This window comes from Homo sapiens, chromosome 2 (genome assembly GCF_000001405.40).
Source record: "Homo sapiens chromosome 2, GRCh38.p14 Primary Assembly".
In the NCBI taxonomy this organism is placed as follows: Eukaryota; Metazoa; Chordata; class Mammalia; order Primates; family Hominidae; genus Homo; species Homo sapiens.
The window spans coordinates 241,324,690-241,346,851 of NC_000002.12; the positions used below are offsets into that span (position 1 = coordinate 241,324,690).

Here is a 22,162-nt window from a genome sequence, read left to right on the forward strand (position 1 = left end):
GTCATCTTAAAAGCTTGGAGCTTTCTCTTTTTTCAGGCTTCTACTTTCTTTTCTCTACACACATCAGTAACAGTCCTTTTGGCCCCCTTAGTTCATTCCCAGCAGACCAGATAATTTAGAATTCTGATAATTTATTATGATGAAATTGATGGGGCTCTTAGACTTGATAAATTGGTTTAAATCAGCCTTTGCAAGTTAGTTCAGAGATAAATTAGTGCTAAAGAACATATTCTGAGAAAAGCAGAACTTGTGGTTAACATTGCAAGATTATTATTTCTGTTTTTTTTTTATCTTTGAATCCTGTGGGTGTTCATTACTGTCCAATGCAAAATCATCATACCAGTTTTTGCATTTTATACCAGTGTTAGCATGGAACACAGATAAGCAAAAAAAAAAGTCATTATTTCACCACTCAGGAATAACCACTGTTAATATGTTACATATATTCTTTTTCACCTGTGTGTGCATTTGACTATACATTTACAAAATGTAATCCTAAAGGAAATACTATTTTGTATCTTGCCTTTTTCAATTAATAAATTGATTTTTAAAATTTCTTCTCATTTTCAGTATGCCACTGTCTAGATTCTGGTTACTTCTGCTATTCTTGCCTTCTCATATCTCTGTCCTCTCTCTCATCAGATACCCTTCTGTCAAGGAATATTGATGCTTCAGTGTAGTCATCTATGATCTTCTCATTCTGTCTTTTCTTTCTTGGTCTTTGACACTAGATACTCAACATCCCACCCCTAATTTGCCTGCCTCACCCTTGATGAAACTCTGTTCTATAGAGCTAGAAGCACAGCAAGAGAGATGCTTTTTTCCTCGATACTTTTCAGAAATGCATTGCACCTAATACCTGGGAGAAGCTATTCTTTAGCCAAGTTTGTTGAATGAAACCATTCATTCAAAGTACTGTCAGCTGTAGCAGTACTTTGTAAGCTTGACTGATTTTCCTGGAACTCCATAGTCTCTCAAGTCGAAATTTGAAATTGCATTAAGATGTATTAAGCATGTATCTTCTATGTATTGTTAAATTCCTAAACAGAATACTGATTAACAAAATGTTAATTTTCAGTCGCATACAACTAAGGAGTTATACTAGATAAGTTTTTCTTTTTTTAATGCTCCTAGTTGAATACTACTGGTTTTCTGATAGAAGTATGACCTTCTGGAAGTGTTTATACTTTTTAAAAAATTTGTGAAAACTGATAACCTATGTTTGTTTCATGTCTAACTGATTATATCTTAAAAGCAACTACTAAGGTGTTTATTAGTTTGTTTGTTTTTTAATCTTATTTAGCAACAGCCAACTCAGTTTATAAATCCAGAAACACCTGGCTATGTTGGATTTGCAAACCTCCCCAATCAAGTTCACCGAAAATCAGTGAAAAAAGGTTTTGAGTTCACACTGATGGTGGTCGGTAAGAAATTAATCTATAGTCTCCAACTTACTAAATAAATATCTCCCCTTTCCAATCTCTGGAGTATGATAACGTGACCTATAAAGAAAGAGGAAAATTTGGCAGAGTCAAATAACTTGAGAATTTGAACAAATATATGTGTATTCATTAGAAAATTTTTCTCAGGAGCAAAATTATTTTTCTGTCACTTTCTTATTTATATGTAGTGAAAGTTTACTCATTGTGTCAGCTAGGCTCCAAAATGGCCCCCAGTGATTCTTATCTCCTGGTATTCACAACTTTCTTGTCCCTTCCTGCATTGAATAGGGTTTTACCTGTGTAGCCAGTAGGACATTGTGGAGATGAAAGTGTTGTCATTTTCTAAGACTAGGTCATAAAAGGCATTATGGCCCCCCACCTTGCCTCTTCTCAAATTACTCACTCTGGAGGAAGCCAGCCCTTCCTGCATTGAATAGGGTTTTACCTGTGTAGCCAGTAGGACATTGTGGAGATGAAAGTGTTGTCATTTTCTAAGACTAGGTCATAAAAGGCATTATGGCCCCCCACCTTGCCTCTTCTCAAATTACTCACTCTGGAGGAAGCCAGCTGTCATGTCAAGAGAACACTCAAGCAGCCTTACAGGGAAGCCCACCAAGTAAGGAACCAAGGCCTGCCAATGGCTGTGTAAGTGACCCGTTTCAGAAATATCCTCCAGGCCAGGCATGGCGGCTCACACCTGTAATCTTAGCACTTTGGGAGGCCGAGGCAGGCAGGAGTTGAAGATCAGGCTGGGCAACATGGTGAAACCCTGTCTCTACAGAAAATATGAAAACTAGCCAGGCATGGTGGCATGTACCTGTAGTTCCTCTCACCTGAGTCCAGGAGGTTGAGGCTGCAGTAAGCTGAGATCATGCCACTGCACTCAAGCCTCAAGCCTGGGTGAATGAAACCTTGTCTCAAAAAAAAAAAAAAAAAAAAAAAAAAAATCCAGGCATTTACAGTGTAACATTCACAATGTCTAATGTCTAATAGAAAATTGTGTGGCATCAAAGAAACAAAAACTGTACATAATCAGGAGAAAAAGCAGGCAATAGAAACAGATCCAGAAATGATAGAAATGGATCTCGATGGCAAAGAAGAACTCTATTACTTAAAGGAAAGCATGAATATAATAAGATAAAGGAAAGATACAACAGAAAACCAAGTGGAACTTCTAAAGATTAAGATACAACCGAAATAAGAAATTTTCATGATAAGCCTGACAGCACATTATACACTGCAGGAGAAAAAGCACAGTAGAAGCACAGTAAGGGAAAAGCTGGAAAAAAAAAAGAAATTGAATGTGCCCTCAGTGTCCTTTGGTACATTGTGAACAGTCTAATATATGGATTATATTCACAGAGAAGACAGGAAAGCAAAAAAAAAAAACATGAAAAAATAATGCCTGGGAATTGTGCAATTTTCAGCAAAGTTGTAAATGCACAGATCCAAGAAGCTTGACAAATACCAGGCAAAATAAATATAAAGAAAACTACACCAGGACGCATCATAACACGCTACCAGAAACTACTGATGAGACAACAAGCAGAAGAAATAATAGAGAAAAGCACACCAAAGCCTGTAATAAGCAAATAGACCATAGATAAACAGAAAGGTCTTTAAAAGTAGCCAGATCAGGCCTGGTGTGGTGGCTCATGCCTGTAATCCTAGCACTTTGGGAGGCCAACATGGGTGGATCACTTCAGCCCAGGAGTTCAAGACCAGTTCAAGAGCAACATGGTGAAACCCTGTCTGTACAAAAGATATAAAAATTAGCCAGCCTTGGTGGGGGATGCCGGTAGTCACAGCTACTTGAGAGGCTGAGGCAGGAGGATCACCTCAGCCTGAGACGTCAGGCCTATGGTGAGCTGTCATCGTGCCACTGCGCTCCAGTCTGGGTGACAGAGTGAGACCTTGTCTCAAGAAAAGAAAAAAGTAGCCAGAACAAAGAAATTTATTACATACAGGGGATTGAAGATAAGAGGAGTGACCACTGAATTGTCATTAGGAATAACATAACTGGTCGGGCGTGATGGCTCATGCCTGTAATCCCAGCACTCTGGGAGGCCAGAGCGGGTGGATCATTTGAGGTCAGGAGTTTGAGACCAGCCTGGCCAACATGGCAAAACCCCATCTCTACTAAAAATACAAAAACCTGGGCGTGGTGGTGCATGCCTGTGACCCAGCTACTTGGGAGGCTGAGGCCAGGAGTATCACTTGAACCAGGGAGGCAGAGGTTGCAGTGAGCCAAGATTGCGCCACAGCACTTTAGTCTGGCGACAGAGCAAGACTCCGTCTCAAAAAATAAAATTAAGTAGAAATTGGCTGGGTGTGGTGGCTCATGCCTGTAATCACAGCATCTTGGGAGGCTGAGGTGGGCAGATCACCTGAGGTTGGGAGTTCAAGACCAGCCTGACCAACATGGAGAAATCCTGCCTTTACTAAAAAAAAAAATACTAAATTAGCTGGGCGTGTTGGCACATGCCTGTAATCCCAGCTACTCGGGAGGCTGAGGCCGGAGAATCACTTGAACCTAGGAGGTGGAGGTTGCAGTGAGCCGAGATCCCATCATTGCACTCCAGCCGGGGCAACAAGAGAGAAACTCCATCTCAAAACACGGTGGCTCACGCCTGTAATCCCAGCACTTGAGGAGGCTAGGCGGGTGGATCACCTGAGGTGGCAAGTTCGAGACCAGCCTGACCAACATGGAGAAACCCCATCTCTAGTAAAAATACAAAATTAGCCGGGCATGGTGGTGGAGGCCTGTAATCCTAGCTACTTGGGAGGCTGAGGCAGGAGAATCACTTGAACCCGGGAGGTGGAGGTTGCGGTGAGCCGAGATCGCGCCATTGCACTCCAGCCTGGGCAACAAGAGTGAAACTCCATCTCTCACACACAAAAAAGGTAGAGATTTAAAAATGAGAAAAGGTGTATGTGGCGGGGAGTAGAAGTAATGTAAATCTTTTGTTGTTGTTGTTGTTTTGTTTGTGTGTTTTGTTTTTGAGATGGTTTGAGATGGAGCCTCGCTCTGTTGCCCAGGCTGGAGTGCAGTGGCACGATCTTGGCTCACTGCAAGCTCCACCTCCCGGGTTCACGCCATTCTCCCACCTCAGCCTCCAAGTAGCTAAGATTACAGGCACCCGCCACCACACCTGGCTAATTTTGTTTCTGTATTTTTAGTAGAGACGGGGTTTCACCGTGTTAGCCATGATGGTCTCGATCTCCTGACTTCGTGATCCGCCCGCCTCGGCCTCTCAAAGCGCTAGGATTAATATAAATCTTACACAGACATCTTCATGAAATAGATGAGTAGGAAACACCTACCAGCCTATTTTATTAAGCCAGCATTATCCTATTACAAATGACAAGAAAACTACAGACTAATATATGTTAGAAATGCTTGTTTTTCGGTGCCATAAAGAAATAGTACTTGAACATAAATTCAGTTTCCTCAGCAAGGCCATTTTTACTTTCTACAGAAAGGGTACACTCGCCAGCAGTTTTGTCAAGAGGGTACACCGAACAAAGAGGATCATTTGTAACCTGGGTCATTTATAACCTGATGCGTCTACCTTACTGCTGTGTCTGGTTTCCACTGGCTGGAACGGTACCTCACATTCTGTATTTGTCCTGATTGGCTAGCAACTTAGAACTTCTTAAAAGAGGCAAAGGCAGAGGAGAACAAAGGAAGGAGGAATGTTGAGAAAGGTAAAATCACCTTCAAATAAGGAAGAGCAACAGGCTATGACCTAATGCTTGCTTGGACCAGCATAAGCATGCCAGGGCAAATATTTAGGCTGAATTGTGCGAGCTAAGAACATAAAGTACTTTGATTTCCTCATTACGGCCAGCAGATATTTAAGAATGTTAGCACAGGTCTTTGAATAAATTATGCTTCTAAGAGAAGTTAGTATTATTCCTAATTAGACGGGGAGTAAAGCCTTTAAAGAGGAGCCTCTACTTTTTACATATACACGAGCTAGACATGGACATCTTAATTAAATCTTACCGAGTCCAGCAATATATCTAAATAAAAAGTCAATGCACTGAGTCCTGCTATGATGCAACCCGTGTGTTTCTAAAAAAATCACCATGCCATACAGCATGATGAATAAACACCACAGGGCTTGTGCAGAAAACAGGGACACAATACTCAGAACCTTCATCAGCGACACAATGGGAAAAAAGATAGGAACGTAAGAATTATACCAGTCCACATGTAAATGGTTAAAAAATAATGACTGCACCATAGAAGCCCTGAGGTTGGTTTGTGCAAGTGGACATCAGGAGGGTTGCAGCTTGTGTGCTTTTGTGTAGCTGTGGAGGGAGGGTTTTCTAAAGTTGGAAAGTCATAACACTACGTGTAAATGGGTGTGGCTCATAACAGGCAGTGAAGAAAGATAGCTGATAGATATTTAGGGGTGTGTGTTGGGAATATCCCCAAGTGGTTTGATTCTGTTGGATGCAGAATTAAACACTGTCTTCTGTATTCTCCTAGTTTCTCACCAATGAGATCATATATAATAAGCAAATACGAAATTTGTATTACTCTGCTATTGTTCCGTAATGTATCAATCCCATTGGAACAAATTCTCATTTTCAAATTAGGACTGACTAAACAAATGGAGTTTATCTTAGGAATACATGATGCAACATTCAAAGTCATTGTCATGCAGTGTAGTTATCAAGGAGGAAGATGATGTTAGCTGAAAAACGAATTTGTAAAAATCCAGGACCCACTAAAGATAAGAAATTAGGCTGAGTGCAGTGGCTAACACCTGTAATCCCAGCACTTTGGGAGCCCGAGGCTGGCAGATCACCTGAGGTCAGGAGTTTAAGACCAGCCCCCCCAACATGGTAAAACTTCATCTCTTTAGTACTTTTGTAAAGTACTGAAATTAGCCGGCCGTGATGGTGGGTGCCTGTAATTTCAGCTATGCTGGAGGCTGAGGCGGGAGAATCGCTTGAATCTGGGAGGGGGAGGTTTCAGTGAGCCGAGGTCATGCCACTGCACTCCAGCCTGCATGACAGAGCGAGACTCCGTCTCAAAAAAAACAAAAGAAAAAAATCACAAACAAGAGTATTAATAATTTTAAGACAGTACCACTTAACAGTCACAAAAAATATTGTTCAGAGATAAATTTAACAAAACGTGCAAGACCTATACACTGAAAACTACAAAACAGTGCTGAGAGAAATTAAAATCTAAAGTTGTTAAGATCTGCCCCATTTGTGGATTGGAACTATTATGCCCTTTCTCCCCCAAATTGTCCCATATTTTTTCTGAGACAGTCTTGCTCTGTCATCCAGGCTAGAGTGCAATGGTATGATTTTGGCAACCTCCACCTCCCAGGTTTAAGTGATTCTCGTTTCTCAGCCTCCCCAAGTAGCTGGGACTACAGGCATGCGCCACCACGCCCATCTAATTTTTGTATTTTTAGTAGAAATGGCATTTTGTCATATTGGCCAGGCTGGTGTTAAACTCCTAGCCTGAAGTGATCCACCCTTCTCAGCCTCCCAAAGTACAAGGATTACTACTGGCATGAGCCACAGCGTCCAGCTCCAACTTTCAGAAATAAAAATTAACAAGCTGATTCGGAAGTTTAAATGTAAATGTAGAGGGCCTAGAACAGACAAAAACAGTTTAGAAAAAGAGCAGAGTTGGAGGATTACAGTCCCTGATTTCAAGACTTAACAGCAGTAATCAAGACAGTGTGGTAAGGGTAGATACACAGATCTACTAAACAGAGCAACAGCCAAGAAGTAGACCCATCAATATAATAAGTTCAATTGTTTTTTTGGTTTCGTTTTTTGAGAAAAAAGCCAAGTTGATTCAGTGGGGGCAAGTTTAGTCTTTTTACAGTCTGTAACAACTAGATGATTATGTGTGAAAAAATGAACTTCAACTCCTGCTTCACACTGTATATCACAACCTGAAATTATAGTAGATTTAAATGTAAAGCTATAAAAACTACAAGAAAATGGGCAAAAAAATTTTTATGACTTTGTAGTAAGCAGATTTCTTAAGACATGAAGAATAGAAATTATAAAAACAATTGTGCATTATTAAAAGTTTGCCTTCTTGAAAAGACATCAATAGGAAAATAAAACGTGAGGAACTCAGAAAGTATTCATAGTACCATATCTGACAAAGGATATGTGTCCAGAATATATAAAAATATTGCACAGATCAGTAAGACGAATGACCCACTTACAAAGAGGGGGCAAAAGATCTGAATAGACATTTCACTAAGGAAGATAAACAAATAGCCAATAAACCCACATAAAGGTGTCCACATCTTTGGTGGTCAGGGGAATACGCATTGAAACCATGAGATGCCACTACCCAGCCACTAAGAGGCAGGCACTCCAGGTGTCAGCAAGGATGTGAAACAACTGGAACTCTTACTAGTGAGCATGTAAAAATGCCACAACCAGTATGGAAGCCAGTTTGGTACTTCCTTAACAGTTAAGACCCAGCAATACTGCTTGTATGTGTTTACCCACAAGAAATGAAAACATGTCCATAAAGATTTGTATATGAATATTCATAGCTACTTTTCTCAAAATAGCCCCAAACTGGGGACAGCAGAGGTATCTAGAGAGTGGATTAACAAATTGTGGTGTAGCCATACAATGGAATATTGCCAAGCACTACAAAGAAACGAACTACTCGTAGATGCAACAACATGCATCAGTCTCAGAGCTTTGTTGAGCAAAAGCAGCCAGACACAAAACAGGCCATGTTGTATGATGCCATTTAAAAGTTTTAGAATAAGCAAAGCTGATACATAGTGACAAAGTAGATTGGTGTTTGCCTGCGGTGGGGACTGGAGAGGGTAGACTTCACAGTTACACAAAGCAACTCTAGGGTTATGAAAATAATCTTTATCTTGAGTGGAGTTTGATTATCTGAGTATCTACTTTTGTCAAAACTGTACAGTTTAAATGGGTGTATTTTAGTATTTGTAAATCGTGCCTCAAAGTGGCTTTAAAATAAAACAGGTAGGGGGTTGAGGGTGAGTAGTGAAAAGTAAAACTAGAAAGCCACAAGAATCCTCAACTTTTAAATTGTAGTATTAATAGCTCAAGAAAAATGGGTGTATCAGGAAAACCCTAACACACCTAATTAGTAAATGAGAGACTATTGAAGAGGAAAGGCAGTTTTTAAAATTTTGTCAGACTTCTAAAGAAACAGGTAAAGGGGCATTGCACCACCGTTTATTAAAAGGATGACTTAATGGGATAACAGGCATTTAGTCAAATTTTTACACTCATATTTAGGCATGTTCAACACATTGTTTTGTTCTTTTCATGTGTGAAAATTGCAGTTCACTTAAAATGCAGTCCTAATTTTGTATGTCTGCATGTTTCTTTTTGTTTTGTTTTGTTTTTTGAGATGGAGTCTCGCTCAGTCGCCCACGCTGGAGTGCAGTGGTGCGATCTCGGCTCACTGCAAGCTCCGCCTCCCGGGTTCACGCCATTCTCCTGCCTCCCGAGTAGCTGGGACTACAGGCGCCCGCCACCACGCCCGGCTAATTTTTTGTATTTTTAGTAGAGACGGGGTTTCACCATGTTAGCCAGGATGGTCTTGAACTCCTGACCTCATGATCCGCCTGCCTCGGCCTCCCAAAGTGCTGGGATTACAGGCGTGGGCCACCGCGCCCGGCTGTGCGTCTGCACATTGCAAATTCACTTATTTGTTCTTGATTTTCCCAGAATTGTTTTATTCTGTAAGGGACAGGGTCTCACTCTGTCACCTAGGCTGAAGTGCAGTGGCATGATCATAGCCTGCTGTAATCTCTAACTCCTGGGCTCAAGCAATCCTTCTGCCCTAGCCTCCCAAGTAGCTGGGACTCTAGGTACAAGCCACAACACCTGGCTAAGGTTTTGGGGTTTTTTTTACTTTGTTTTGGTTTTTTGGGAGATGGGGGTCTCACTATTTTGCCCAGGCGGGGTCTTGAATTCTTAGCCTCAAGTGATCCTCCAGCCTTGGTCTGCTAAAGTGCTGGGATTATAGGTGTGAGCCACTATGCCCAGCCAGAAATAATTTTTCAAAAGAGATGTGTACTCCTTCCTCATGCTTTGCAGAACTTAACAGAGGGTGGTTTAGGGTACCCAGAGGACAGTCCAGCACCAGTAGTACCAAGATCAGAAGCAGTTCTCCATGCAGAATTGAGACCTAGATGATCATCTGCAATGAAGCAGTGGGATTTGTGCTTCCTTCAAATGTAAAATTTAATTTTTGGTATTTTGCATCTTTTTTGAAGTTAAATTTCAAATATTCAGAATATGTAGTCACAGTAGTTCAAGAGAGATTCTCACCTCATTGAAAGCTTACATGGATATGTGTCACCTGAATTAGTCGTGTGAACTCAACAAAGTGAGCGGGAAAGTTGCCCGACATATGACAGTTGCCAGTGCTGGGAAACGGGGATGGATTTAAAGCAGGAAGAAGACAAGGTGGCAGAAGGGGGAGGTTGCAGAGTGAGGGTGTGCATGTGAGCCCACCAGACCACAGGCCCTGTCCTGCTCACACGTTTCTGCAGCTCGGGAAGCACAAGGGTTGTTGACACTATGGGATAGATATGTTCAGTTTTCTGAAAATGTGGTGAGTTTAGTGACTAGCAGAACTGATAATTGAAAACCTGCTTTGCATTCTATTTGTCAAAAATAAAAACCAACCTCTAAAGTACATTCCTCACATTTGTGAACAGTTATGTTTCTAATTATATGATGTTCAAGTTCTGTAGTCTCATAGACCTGGATTCAAATCTTGGCCCTGCTCTGGATAGTACTCTGACCTTGGGCAAATTAGAGTTTCTTTGAGTACCCTCAAAGATCATACTGCAAACATAGTAGTACTGTAGGTACTAAACACAGAATGATGTTTGTGAGGTACTTAGCCCAGTACCAGGCCTTATGTAAACACTTAACCGATTGAATGGTGTCATATGAATAAGGTCATGACAAGGTTTTTCTTTTTATTTAAAGGTGAATCAGGTCTAGGAAAATCGACTCTCATAAACAGCCTATTCCTAACTGATCTGTACCCAGAAAGAGTCATACCTGGAGCAGCAGGTAAAAACATTCTTATGTTACTGTAAGTGTAATTCTACATGAAAGATGCTGAAGACTGCCTAATTAATATTTTATGTCTTAGCTGTGTGTTTTGTTTGTTCTTGTTCAGCTTTGAACACAAGGAAAACACTTTTATGGGGTAGGTGTGCTGCACCGAGGTCCTTGGATTTGGGTTGTAGACTTTCTTTGACACGTATCCATGGATCCATCCTCTCTTGAGTTTGTCTGTAAAATGTAATAAGTAGTTTCTGCCTATATTAAATATTTGATGGAAGGATTAAGTGAGAATGTTTTACATCAAAAATGCTGTGTAACTAGAAGATTACTAGGATAGATGTTCGAATTCATCTACTGTCAGAAAGTTCCAGCACAGGACACCAGCATCCACAAATGACTGTTGAATGAAATAGGCACACATAGTGAGAGCCTAAGACTTGGGCTGCTGCAAGAATATGTAGCCCTTTCAGAATATTTTTGAATTCAGTTTTTAAATGAATTCGTAAATTGCTTTCTTTTTCCCAGGAACAGAAATTATAATTTTTAACATTTGTGTTTTTAACCTTCCCCAGTAGCACAATAATCTTAGCTTTAACCTTCCCCTTTCTGACTTCTCTGGGATCTTTTTTTCTTAATCCCCATGGTATCTTTGGAGAACCTACCTCTGTAGAGAGGCAGTAGACTCTGAAGTCACCTGTCGTAAGAACGTGAGCTTTCCTCTTCACATGCTGCTTATATTCCCTATTAAGTTTGTTTCTTTTCTAGAAAAAATTGAAAGAACTGTCCAGATTGAGGCTTCAACTGTTGAAATTGAAGAGCGAGGGGTCAAGCTACGCCTGACAGTGGTAGATACCCCTGGCTATGGTGACGCTATCAACTGCAGAGATTGGTATGCTCCCCCATGCCCAGGGATCTGCATTTGTTTACTTAATATACTTCATAAATTTATAGATAGTGTTAATGAGTGATTATTAAGTTTGGGATTGCTGTATATAATAAAACACCTAGACAATTTAAAGCGTGTTAAATGTTGACTTTTTAAATAAGGAATTTTATAGAGAGTAATTTTTTTCTGGTACTCTACTGTAATTTGAGATCGCAAAGCCAGTCATCCATAGACTGCTAGTATAAATGAAACACCTGGATTTGAGCCGTGGTTGGTGACCGAGATACTGTAGTACATCCTTTCTATGTGGAAGGAAGTGAAACCTGTTAGAGAGTGGGTTGAGTCGTAGTGTCTGTAAATGACTGCTCATTGGCATCATTTTCACAAATAAGGAAATGAAGAAGTAGAAGATAGAGCAGTCTGTCACCTGTACCGTGCAAAGAATGCCACTTTTGTTGTACAAACTCCCTCCTGGTTCTATTCCTGTCAACATAAAGCATCAGGTTTCCACCACTAGATGAAAAGGGGAAGGTTCTGTTATCTTTCTCCTACATTTAGGAATTTCTCCCTTCTTACATGTGAAAGTGCTGTACTGTTTCCCAGCTCAGTTAAATGCTGTTTCCCAGCTCAGATAAACCTGTTCTTGACCCATGTTCTCTACCACCCTGTTCCTCTGCCCCTTTTCACAGTCACGTTCCTGAAAAGAATTGGCAGCCCTGGCTGGGTGCGATGGCTCATGCCTGTAATCCCAGCACTTTGGGAGGCTGAGGTGGGCTGATCACAAGGTCAGGAGTTCGAGACCAGCCTGGCCAACATGGTGAAACCCTGTCTCTACTAAAAATACAAAAATTAGCCGGGCGTGGTGGCGTGTGCCTATAATCCCAGCTACTTGGGAGGCTGAGGCAGGAGAATCGCTTGAACCCTGGAAGCAGAGGTTGCAGTGAGCCGAGATCACGCCACTGCACTCCAGCCTGGGCAACAGTGCAAGACTCAGTCTCAAAAAAAAAAAGAACGAATTGGCAGCCCTGTCTACACTGGCCCTCTCTCAGGTGCATCATAACCTATTCCATTCAGGCTTTTGACTCTCAGCACTTAGGGGCAGTTATGCTTGGCATAGTTTCCAAAAACTTCCATTTGCCAAATCTAAAAGTCAGTCTTCTGTTCTCATCTTGAAAATGAATTATTAAATTATGTATATTTGGGCGGAGGCACTTGTTTTCCCTTTGAAGTCAGGGACCCCCTGTTTTATACCCTATGATTATTGTTAATGTTTCTGTTTCTCTCAGTTTTAAGACAATTATCTCCTATATTGATGAGCAATTTGAGAGGTACCTGCATGACGAGAGCGGCTTGAACAGGCGGCACATCATTGATAATAGGGTGCATTGTTGCTTTTACTTTATTTCACCTTTTGGACATGGGTAAGTAATTGTTTATCGTGGAGAAATGCTTTACTACATGGGTTTGTAAGTTTTACCCAAACTGTGTATTTTAATATAAGAATTAAGATAATTTGAGAGAGAAGAGTTTTGTATGTATTTTTTTTAAATAAGTGACAATTCTAAAATTAATTTTAGACTTAAGCCCTTAGATGTGGCGTTTATGAAGGCAATACACAACAAGGTGAATATTGTGCCTGTCATTGCAAAAGCTGACACTCTCACCCTGAAGGAACGGGAGCGGCTGAAGAAAAGGGTGAGTGAGGCTGGCGTCCTGCCCTCCCTCTGGGTGCGACTCGGGGGCATGGGGATGAAGAAAGGAGTGTGTTCCCACGCTCAGTCTGCTCAGGTGTCGGGAGGCAGGGCGGGAGAATTTTTCCTGCATTTTAGTGGTGGTTTTCAAGGAGAACCTGATGGTTACAAATTTTAATTTTTGCCTTCATGAAGGTATCAAATTTCTATTCTTTAAATTCTCCTTATATTTAAAATGCCCTCGATGAGTAGCAGTTGGTTACACACAAGTACCTTCCATGGGAGTTAAATGACTCAAATATAGAAATGTGATCTCTCCATGAAGTTTGTTATTTTACCTAAATTCTTTACTGCAAATGACCCATACAAGGATGTATCTAAGTAGACTGGTTCTCTGTTCTGTTTGGAAACATAGCAGTTGTCAGCCAGCGAAGCGCCTCTCACCCGCCAGCAGCTCCTGTGGTGTCCCAGTTTTAGTGCCTCTTCCGTGTATGTCTGTAAAGCCTCTTTATTGATTCTCTGCTATATATTTTTAAATTGCTTACTTTGTTCTGATTATATGCTCCTTAAGAAAGTCCAAATAGTTTATATATGCTAAACTCTAAAAATACAAATCCCTAACTGAACATACCGGTACGTGCATAAAAATACAAATCCCTAAATGAACATACCGATCTGTGCGTGTAATCACAGTTGCTGGGGCAGGGTAGGGGGATACAGCAGGGGGTTCAGGCAGGAGGATCACTTGAGCCCAGAAGTTGGAGGCCAACCTCAGCAACATAGCAATACGCTGTCTCTAAAAAAATATATATATATATTTTATATATATAATATATAATTAATAAATATATATAATATATATTACATATATATTATATCTATATTATTTATATTACATATGTAATATATATTATATTTATATTATTTATATAATATATTATATATATTATATTATTTATATGTAATATATTTATATTGTTTATATATATTATATTTATATTATTTATATATAATACATATTATATTTATATTATTTATATATAATATATATAATAAATATATAATATATATAAAAATATATATATTTAATATATCTATAATATATATTATATATATTATATATAATATATATAATTGTACATATATTTATTATATATATTATATATATAATATATATTATAAATATAATATATAAATATATTTATAAATATATATAAATATTATATTTATACATTATATTTATATACATATTATATATACATTTTTATATATTATATATATATAAATATAATATACATATATTTTTTAAAATAAAAGAGTTTCTAGGCCGAGTGTGGTGGCTCACGCCTGTAATCCCTGCACTTTGGAAGGCTGAGGCAGGCACATCACCAGAGGTCAGGAGGTCGAGACCAGCCTGGCCAACATGGCAAAACTCCGTCTCTAAAAAATTACAAAAGTTAGCCGGGCGTGGTGGCGGGCATCTGTAGTCCCAGCCACTCAGGAGGCTGAAGCAAAAGAATCGCTTCAACCCAGGAGGCAGAGGTTGTTTGCAGTCCAGCCTGGGTGACAGAGCAAGACTCCGTCTCAAGAAAAAAAAAAAAGAATTTCTGTAATTACCCACAGAAAGAACAACTGTTAAGTATATATCCTTCTAGAACATAGCTTATGTTTTTGGTTTTGCAGAATGAAATCACATAGTAATACTATTCTGCCATTTGATTTTTCTATTTAAAAATATTTGGAAGCATCCTCATATATATACTGTATCCTAATTCTTCCTGGATGCACAGCATTCCACCATATGAATATACTCTAACTTGTCCAGTTTCCTGCTGATGAATATTTGGCTTACTTTTTGTTTTACTCTGGCCCCTTTTCTTCTTTGACCAAATTTACTGTTTCTTTGCCCCTTGCTCGCTGCTTTTGCTAGTGATACCCTCTGCCTGGAACAGTCTTCCCTCAGATACCTGTGTGGGGAACTCCCTCACTGAGCCCAACGCTGCACACAAGATTTCACATCTCCATCCCCTGCTCTGCTGGTAGCACTCCCCCCACACTGCATAAAGTATTTCTCTAGCGTGTTTTTTGGCTTCTCCTGACCCCTGACCCCAGGTCCTGAGATCAGGAATCTGCTTTGTTCACTTATGTATTCCCAGAGTTCCGAATAATGTCTGGCACATAATAGATTTGTTGCATAATTGTTGTAATGAACACTGGTGTACATCTATCTTTTCACAATTGTGTGAGCCAAACGAATTCTTAGGAAATAAGTATACATTTAAATTTTTGAAGGATGACTAAATTTGCTCTAAAGTAAGTTTGTAACAATTTACATTTCCAAAGTGTACTCTTCTCTCCACCCCCTAAAACTGTCCTGGTTATGTTGCCAGTTTTTGTAATGTGTTTCCTGTCTGAGAAATTGTATCTCATTTGAATTTGCCTTTCCTTGATTGCCGATGTGAGTATCTGTGCTGGTGTTGATGCCGGTTGGTGTATTCTCTCAGGTTGCAGGGACTTGGCTCTTGCTTTTTTATTGACTTAACACATATACTTATTTTTAGATGTTGACTATCACGTTGCAGATGATTTCACCTGGTTTGACTTTCATTTTTTCACATTTTTCTTGGTGCTTTTTTCCAAAGCAATTTTTAAGCAGCATGTAGTCATGTTTGGCAGCCTTTTCCTAAATTGTCTCAAGTGCCTGCCAGTTTTTTAGAAAGTATTTGAACCTTTGAAGAACCCCTGGAAGCGTAGACGTTTTTATGCTAATAAATACTTTAGTAATTCCTACTTAAGGGAACTTCACCTTTTGTACTCTGCTATATTAAATTTCTTTGAGGTAGAAATGGGGGTGGTGTCAGGGTTAGAATGCTGTAATTCTAATCTCTAATCCTGTATGCGAAACATTTAGTGCTGGATTACAACATCTGAGATGAATCGAAATACTTCGAGCTTTTATCCCTTCCTTCTTGGGCCTCATTAATCACTTCTCTTCCTCCAGTTTCTCCTTGATGCCTACCAGTTTGTTCATTCTGCCCTATCTACAAGAACCTCTTGCCTCCTGCCAGCCTCTACTAGCTTCTTGCCTTCACCAGCCTTTCTTCTAGTCAGACACTTACTGGTAGCTGTTATCTGCCCTCCCCATGATCCTGTTCACTCAGGCTTCCTGTCATCCACCTGCAATTGCTCTCTCATGGGCTTGGCCAACAGTTCAGTTCTCAGATGTGGGCCCCACCTGTGGGGTTTGTGTGATTGGCAATTCTACTTCTGAAACTTCCCTTCCTTGGCTGCTGAACCACTGTGTTTGCTTTTCTATCTGCTGTTTTTTACCACCTTCCTTCCTGATCCCTGAAGGTCAGTATTCCTTAGTATTATTTTGATCACATTATTTCTGTGGCTTCTGATTTGCCCTTCCAGGTATCTTATTTCTTGTTGTGAACCACATTTACCCACAGGAGTCCTCTTTTGACCACTGATGGACTCCTGTCCTTCCAGCTCCCCTGTCTCTTTAAATGGTCCCACAATTCTTGAAATCATCCAGACTGAGAAATGTGTAAATTATTTTTTACTCATCACTTCTGACTCCTCTGCTCACTTTTAAATAGCTTACTAACTGTTTCCGAACTCTTCTCTCCTCCAAAGTGTAAGCTCCATCTTTATGAGGCCAGCATAGGACAAAAGATGAGGTTAGCATGGATGGATAGTAGACCAGGAAAGGGGCCGTAAGATGAGGACAGGTGAGCAAGTTCATGCTTCTTATTGCTCAGTTTCTCCCAGAGATAAGATGGTTCCTCCCATTTAGGAATAAGGATTTATGAAAAGACTGAAGGTCGAGTTACAGAGTAAAGGATGTAGAGAGGAGGGCCTTTTCTGGAGTTCTGAATTAGTGCAGACATTGTACTAAGACCAAATCTCTGACCATTCAAGGCCCTTTTTAGGTCACATTAAGGCTTTCCATTCTTAAAAACCAGAAAGCAAATCCAGTGCACAGTTTGAGGTCGGGATATTTTCTGCTCACGTTGCTCTTGTTCTCTCTTCCCTGAATGGCTCAGGTACTGAGGTGAGACCAAACAAAACTGTGGCCTGCCTGGTGCCTGTGAGAATGCCCACCATGCAATGAGCATTTGAGTGCTAGGGTTTTAATTGATTGACTGATGAATGCATTCGTATTTCAACTTCAGCCCAGTTCTTTCTCCCCTCAAGCCCCATCCCCCACACTACTGCCTGCTTGATAGGTCCGATTGTGGGATTTCACTGCTGACTGCTGGCTGCCTGTTGAATGAAATACAGATCCCCAGGTCGCTAGCCTGGTGTTGATGGAACTCTCCACTTTGTAATTCCAATTTTTGTTTCCTTATCCAACTGGATGTCTTAGATTCCAACCTTTTGAATTTCTTATTCTCAAAATGCACCCCATGTGTCCTCTCTGTGCCTTTGACGAGGTTTTGTTTTTTTTTCTTTCTTTCTTCCTTTTTTTCCATCTGGGGTACTTCTCCCTTCTCTCTGCTTTTAAGACTCCTGCCTGTTCTCCAGGGTCTTCTCATGCCTGTAGCTTCTCTGTGGCAATTACCCTTCTTGAGGCTGATTGTGGTGTGATTTCCATTTTAGCTGTTGTGCTGGGGCTATCGTTAGTCTTCCTGCTGCTTTGTACATTGAGGGTAGTGGTGCATTATTGCTAATGTTATTTTTATTCTGTACAGAGGATCCTCAAAATTCAAGTATAAATACCTTTCTAGCAGTTTTGTAAATTTTTTTTTTTTTTTTTTTTTTTTGAGACGGAGTCTTGCTCCGTCACCCAGGCTGAAGTGCAGTGGTCTCAGCTCACTGCAAGCTCCGCCTCCCGGGTTCACGCCATTCTCCTGCCTCAGCCTCCCCAGCAGCTGGGACTACAGGCGTCCACTGCCACGCTTAGCTAATTTTTTTGTATTTTTAGTAGAGACAGGGTTTCACCATGTTAGCCAGGATGGTCTCCATCTCCTGACCTTGTGATCCACCTGCCTCGGCGTCCCAAAGTGCTGGGATTACAGACGTGAGCCACCACACCCGGCCGCAGTTTTATAAATTTATTTGACAGTAACTTTCGTCATCAGTTTGATTATTGACATTTGTATGATTTCCAATATATTTCTTACAAGATGAGCTAGAATTGGCTACAATAACATACGCAGTTTGCTAAAATTGATCCTGGTTTTGTCATTCTCTCAGATTCTGGATGAAATTGAAGAACATAACATCAAAATCTATCACTTACCTGATGCAGAATCAGATGAAGATGAAGATTTTAAAGAGCAGACTAGACTTCTCAAGGTAAGAACTGGCTTCAGATCCACAACATAAATAACTCCTGTTTACTGTTGTCCATGTTGAGGTGAGAGAGATTGCCTGGGTATGTTCAGTTACGAGAGTATTTTTGCTTTCAATATATTTTAAGACCTCATGCAGTGGCTCATGCCTATAATCCCAGCACTTTGAGAGGCCAAGGCAGATGGATCAGTTGAGGCCAGGAGTTCCAGACCATCCTGGCCAACATGGTGAAATCTCATCTCCATCAAAAATACAAAAATTAGGTGGATGTGGTGGTGCACACCTGTAGTCCCAGCCACTCGGGAGGCTAAGGCAGGAGAATCACTTGAACCCAGGAGGCAGAGGTTGCAGTGAGCCGAGATCGCGCCTCTGCACTCTAGCCTGGCGACAGAGCAAGACTCTGTCTCAAAAAAAAAAAAAATTTGATACAGCTATCACCTAAAGCTTAGAAATTTTATTGTAGGTTTAATTTGTTTTCGTACAATTTGTCCCATGTAGAAAGTATCTGACACTTTTCAAGAAAATGTTACATACCCCCAGCTTTCCAATTCAGTTTTGTAGTCAACAGCAATGTGTTAAGTCTGTGCTAATGTTCTCGTGTTGCCAGTGAACTCTGGGGTTCCCTGTGTGGAGCCTGTCTACTCTGTGTGTCTCTTTCTAGGCTAGCATCCCATTCTCTGTGGTTGGATCCAATCAGTTGATTGAAGCCAAAGGAAAGAAGGTCAGAGGCCGCCTCTACCCCTGGGGTGTTGTGGAAGTGGAGAACCCAGAGCACAATGACTTTCTGAAGCTGAGAACCATGCTCATGTAAGACATTTGGTGTGTTCCTTCTGGCAGAATTTGGCGTGAAGAATATGGATTTCAGACGGGGTGTACACTTGGCCCCCAAGATAGTTGCAGCCAGCAGCTTCATTGCCGCCCTCAGTGTTTCTCACATCGCAGAAGTGGTGTGGGGCTGTTGCAGATTGGTGCTGAGAACCCTCACCCAGGGGCCCTCTGTGGCACTACTAAACTAGCGCTTCTGCCTGTGGCCTGTAGCCTGCAGTACCTTTCCTTCTTGCTAAGATCTTACATCTTTGATGTTAAAAGGAGAAAAGGAGACTAGAACCTAAACTGGGGTCTGAGAGGTCCCCAGTGCTGGTAAGGAAACAGTCAGGCTGTATAGGCCCCTGGTCCACTGCTCCAGGCTGAGCCACCCCTGGTGCCCTGCTCACCAGTCTGAGACTCATTGTATGGCCCTGGTTAGCTTTTTGTGTCTTCCATTTATTATTAATAGCAATTACAGACCTGACTACAAAAATAGTCTTCTTTAAAAATGAATTTCATGGCTGGGCGTGGTGGCTCACACCTGTAATCCCAGCACTTTGGGAGGCTGAGGCAGGCAGATCACGAGGTCAGGAGTTCAAGACCAGCCTGACCAACATGGTGAAACCCCATCTGTACTTAAAGTGCAAAAAATAAATTAGCCAAGCGTGGTGGTGCGCACCTGTAATCCCAGCTACTCAGGAGGCTGAGGCAGGAGAATCACTGTTGAACCAGGAGGCAGAGGTTGCAGTGAGCCAAGATTGCACCACTGCACTCCAGCCTGGGCGACAGAGCGAGACTCTGTCTCAAAAAAATAATAAATTAAATAAATAAATTTCACATATTGTAACATGCATACATTGCTTTTACTCTTGAAAAAAGAGGCTGAGGCCGGGTGCGGTGGCTCATGCCTGTACTCCTGGCATTTTGGGAGGCCCAGGCGGGCGGATCACTTGAGGTCAGGAGTTTGAAACCAGCCTGGCTGACATGGTGAAACCAGCCTGGCCGACATGGTGAAACCAGCCTGGCCAACATGGTGAAACCCTGTCTCTACTAAAAATACAAAAAAATTAGCCGAGTGTGGTGGTGGGTGCCGGTATTCTCAGCTACTTGGGAGGCTGAGGCAGGAGAATCGCCTGAACCTGGAGGTGGAGGTTGCAGTGAGCCGGGATTGCGCCACTGCACTCCAGCCTGGGCAACAAGAGCAAGACTTCATCTCAAAAAAAAAAACCAAAAAGAACAGGCTGAGAGTATTGCTTAAACTATACCTCTTTAATCAGAGGACTTCAAAGAATGACTGATGTGGATAAATCAGTGTTTTGATTAGCTGAAAGTCGCTACATATTTGCCGCATGTCTCACTTAGTTTAGCAATTTGTAGTGAGTTAAAATAAGTAAGCATGTTACCATCCAAGCTGTGTCAAACACAATTTAATGGTTGTGTAAGAAGTTAAGCGCACTCAGCCCCTCCAGGGCTGCATCCTTGTGGCTATCCTGATCCCCATTATTGAGGGGGGTGTAGAGGCTGAAGACAGGGTTTGGGGACTTTACTTTAGTGTCAGTTGTGTGTTTCTCACAATGAGGTAGAGTGAGCCACTCCTTGGCTATCTCAATCCATTTCCCTGGATCCTGAATCAATAGGAACGTGTTACAATGTTTGCTCATTCTTGCCTGCTTTTAAGTATTTTGAATAAGCTAGGCAATTAAAAAAAATTTTTTAAGAGTGCTTCATAAGATGAATGGAAGGTTAAGTTGCTGACTAATATTCTTGGATCCAGAATATTAGTCCTTCACTTTATGGTCTTGTACATAGCTTAAGCTAACCAACTCTTTTTTCTCATATGAGAGTAATATATAAATTTTGAGTTATAGGAGGCATGAATATTTTCATTACATTTTCCGTAAGTCCTTTTAGAAGAGTGTCTTCTATTTCAGACATTGTTGACCTGAAAATCTCTTAAAATCTGTCTGCCATCCTGTGGTAGTGATGGCCTCACACAGGGGTGGCAGTGCCTCTAGCAGAAATCCCCCTGAGAGACTCAGTCGAGACCTGTGTTTGTATATCATTTATTGGGGAAGAAAGGGAGAGCTACACCTCACTAGACATTTCCACGGCCATACTCATTATCCTGAAATCCCAGCAGCTTTATGTACAATTTACCAAGTAATTTTAATTACTGCTATTTCTTCTATGTACTTGATGGGTGGTTTTTTTTCTCATGAGAATGTCATGTGCATGATGCCACCTTGGTGCATTCCTCTTCTCTTTCAGCACCCACATGCAGGATCTCCAGGAGGTGACCCAGGACCTTCATTATGAAAACTTCCGTTCTGAGAGACTCAAGAGAGGCGGCAGGTCATCACACTGTGCCCCTTTCTCTGTATTGTGTCACCCTGAGCCACAATGTTCCTCCTCCTCTATGTGTTCAGCTCAGCCTTCTTGACCATTAAGCAACATGGTTTGGTTTCCTACTCAAAAGTTATTATAAAAGAGTTGTTAATTTAATCAAATTATGCTCTTTTAGCCTTTTTAAGAAAAAGTACATTTAATGATATGCACGTAAAAACTTTAGGCCAGGCACGGTGGCTCATGCCTGTAATCCCAGCACCTTGGGAGACCAAGGCAAGGTAGATTGCCTGAGCGCAGGAGTTTTGAGACCATGAGATTACATGGTGAAGTCCCATCTCTACAAAAATTTAAAAAAAAAAAAATTAATTTAGCCGGGCATGGTGGCACACACCTATAATCCCAGCTACTCGGGAGGCTGAGTTGGGAGGAGCAGTTGAGCCTGGGAGGTGCAGTGAGCCATAATTGCACCACTGCACTTTATCCTGGGCAATAAAACAAGACCCTGTCTCAAAAAACAAACAAAAACTTTAGATGGAAAGGCCAGAGGCTTGTGTCGAGTTCTCCTTCAAAAGCATCACTCTGTACGTGAGGACAAACTTGTTGCCATT

General features: G+C 41.1%; 1 protein-coding gene across 45 annotated transcripts in view; it reads left to right on the forward strand.

Annotated features, from left to right (window-relative positions):
- SEPTIN2 (septin 2) overlaps positions 1–22,162 on the forward strand; it is a 38,673-nt gene that overhangs the window by 9,335 nt on the left and 7,176 nt on the right. For 31 of the 45 annotated variants that reach the window (XM_024452921.2, XM_024452920.2, XM_047444494.1 and 28 more), the window contains 8 exons: positions 1,304–1,424; positions 10,437–10,523; positions 11,286–11,409; positions 12,693–12,827; positions 12,984–13,101; positions 18,303–18,404; positions 19,063–19,208; positions 21,477–21,560. In XM_024452921.2, coding sequence (XP_024308689.1) covers positions 1,304–1,424; positions 10,437–10,523; positions 11,286–11,409; positions 12,693–12,827; positions 12,984–13,101; positions 18,303–18,404; positions 19,063–19,208; positions 21,477–21,560 — 917 coding nt within the window. Of the gene's footprint in view, positions 1–1,303; positions 1,425–10,436; positions 10,524–10,632; positions 10,663–11,269; positions 11,410–12,692; positions 12,828–12,983; positions 13,102–18,302; positions 18,405–19,062; positions 19,209–21,476; positions 21,561–22,162 lie in introns of all 45 variants that reach the window. The other 14 variants (NM_001349313.2, NM_001349308.2, NM_001349310.2 and 11 more) reach the window with 5 other exon arrangements.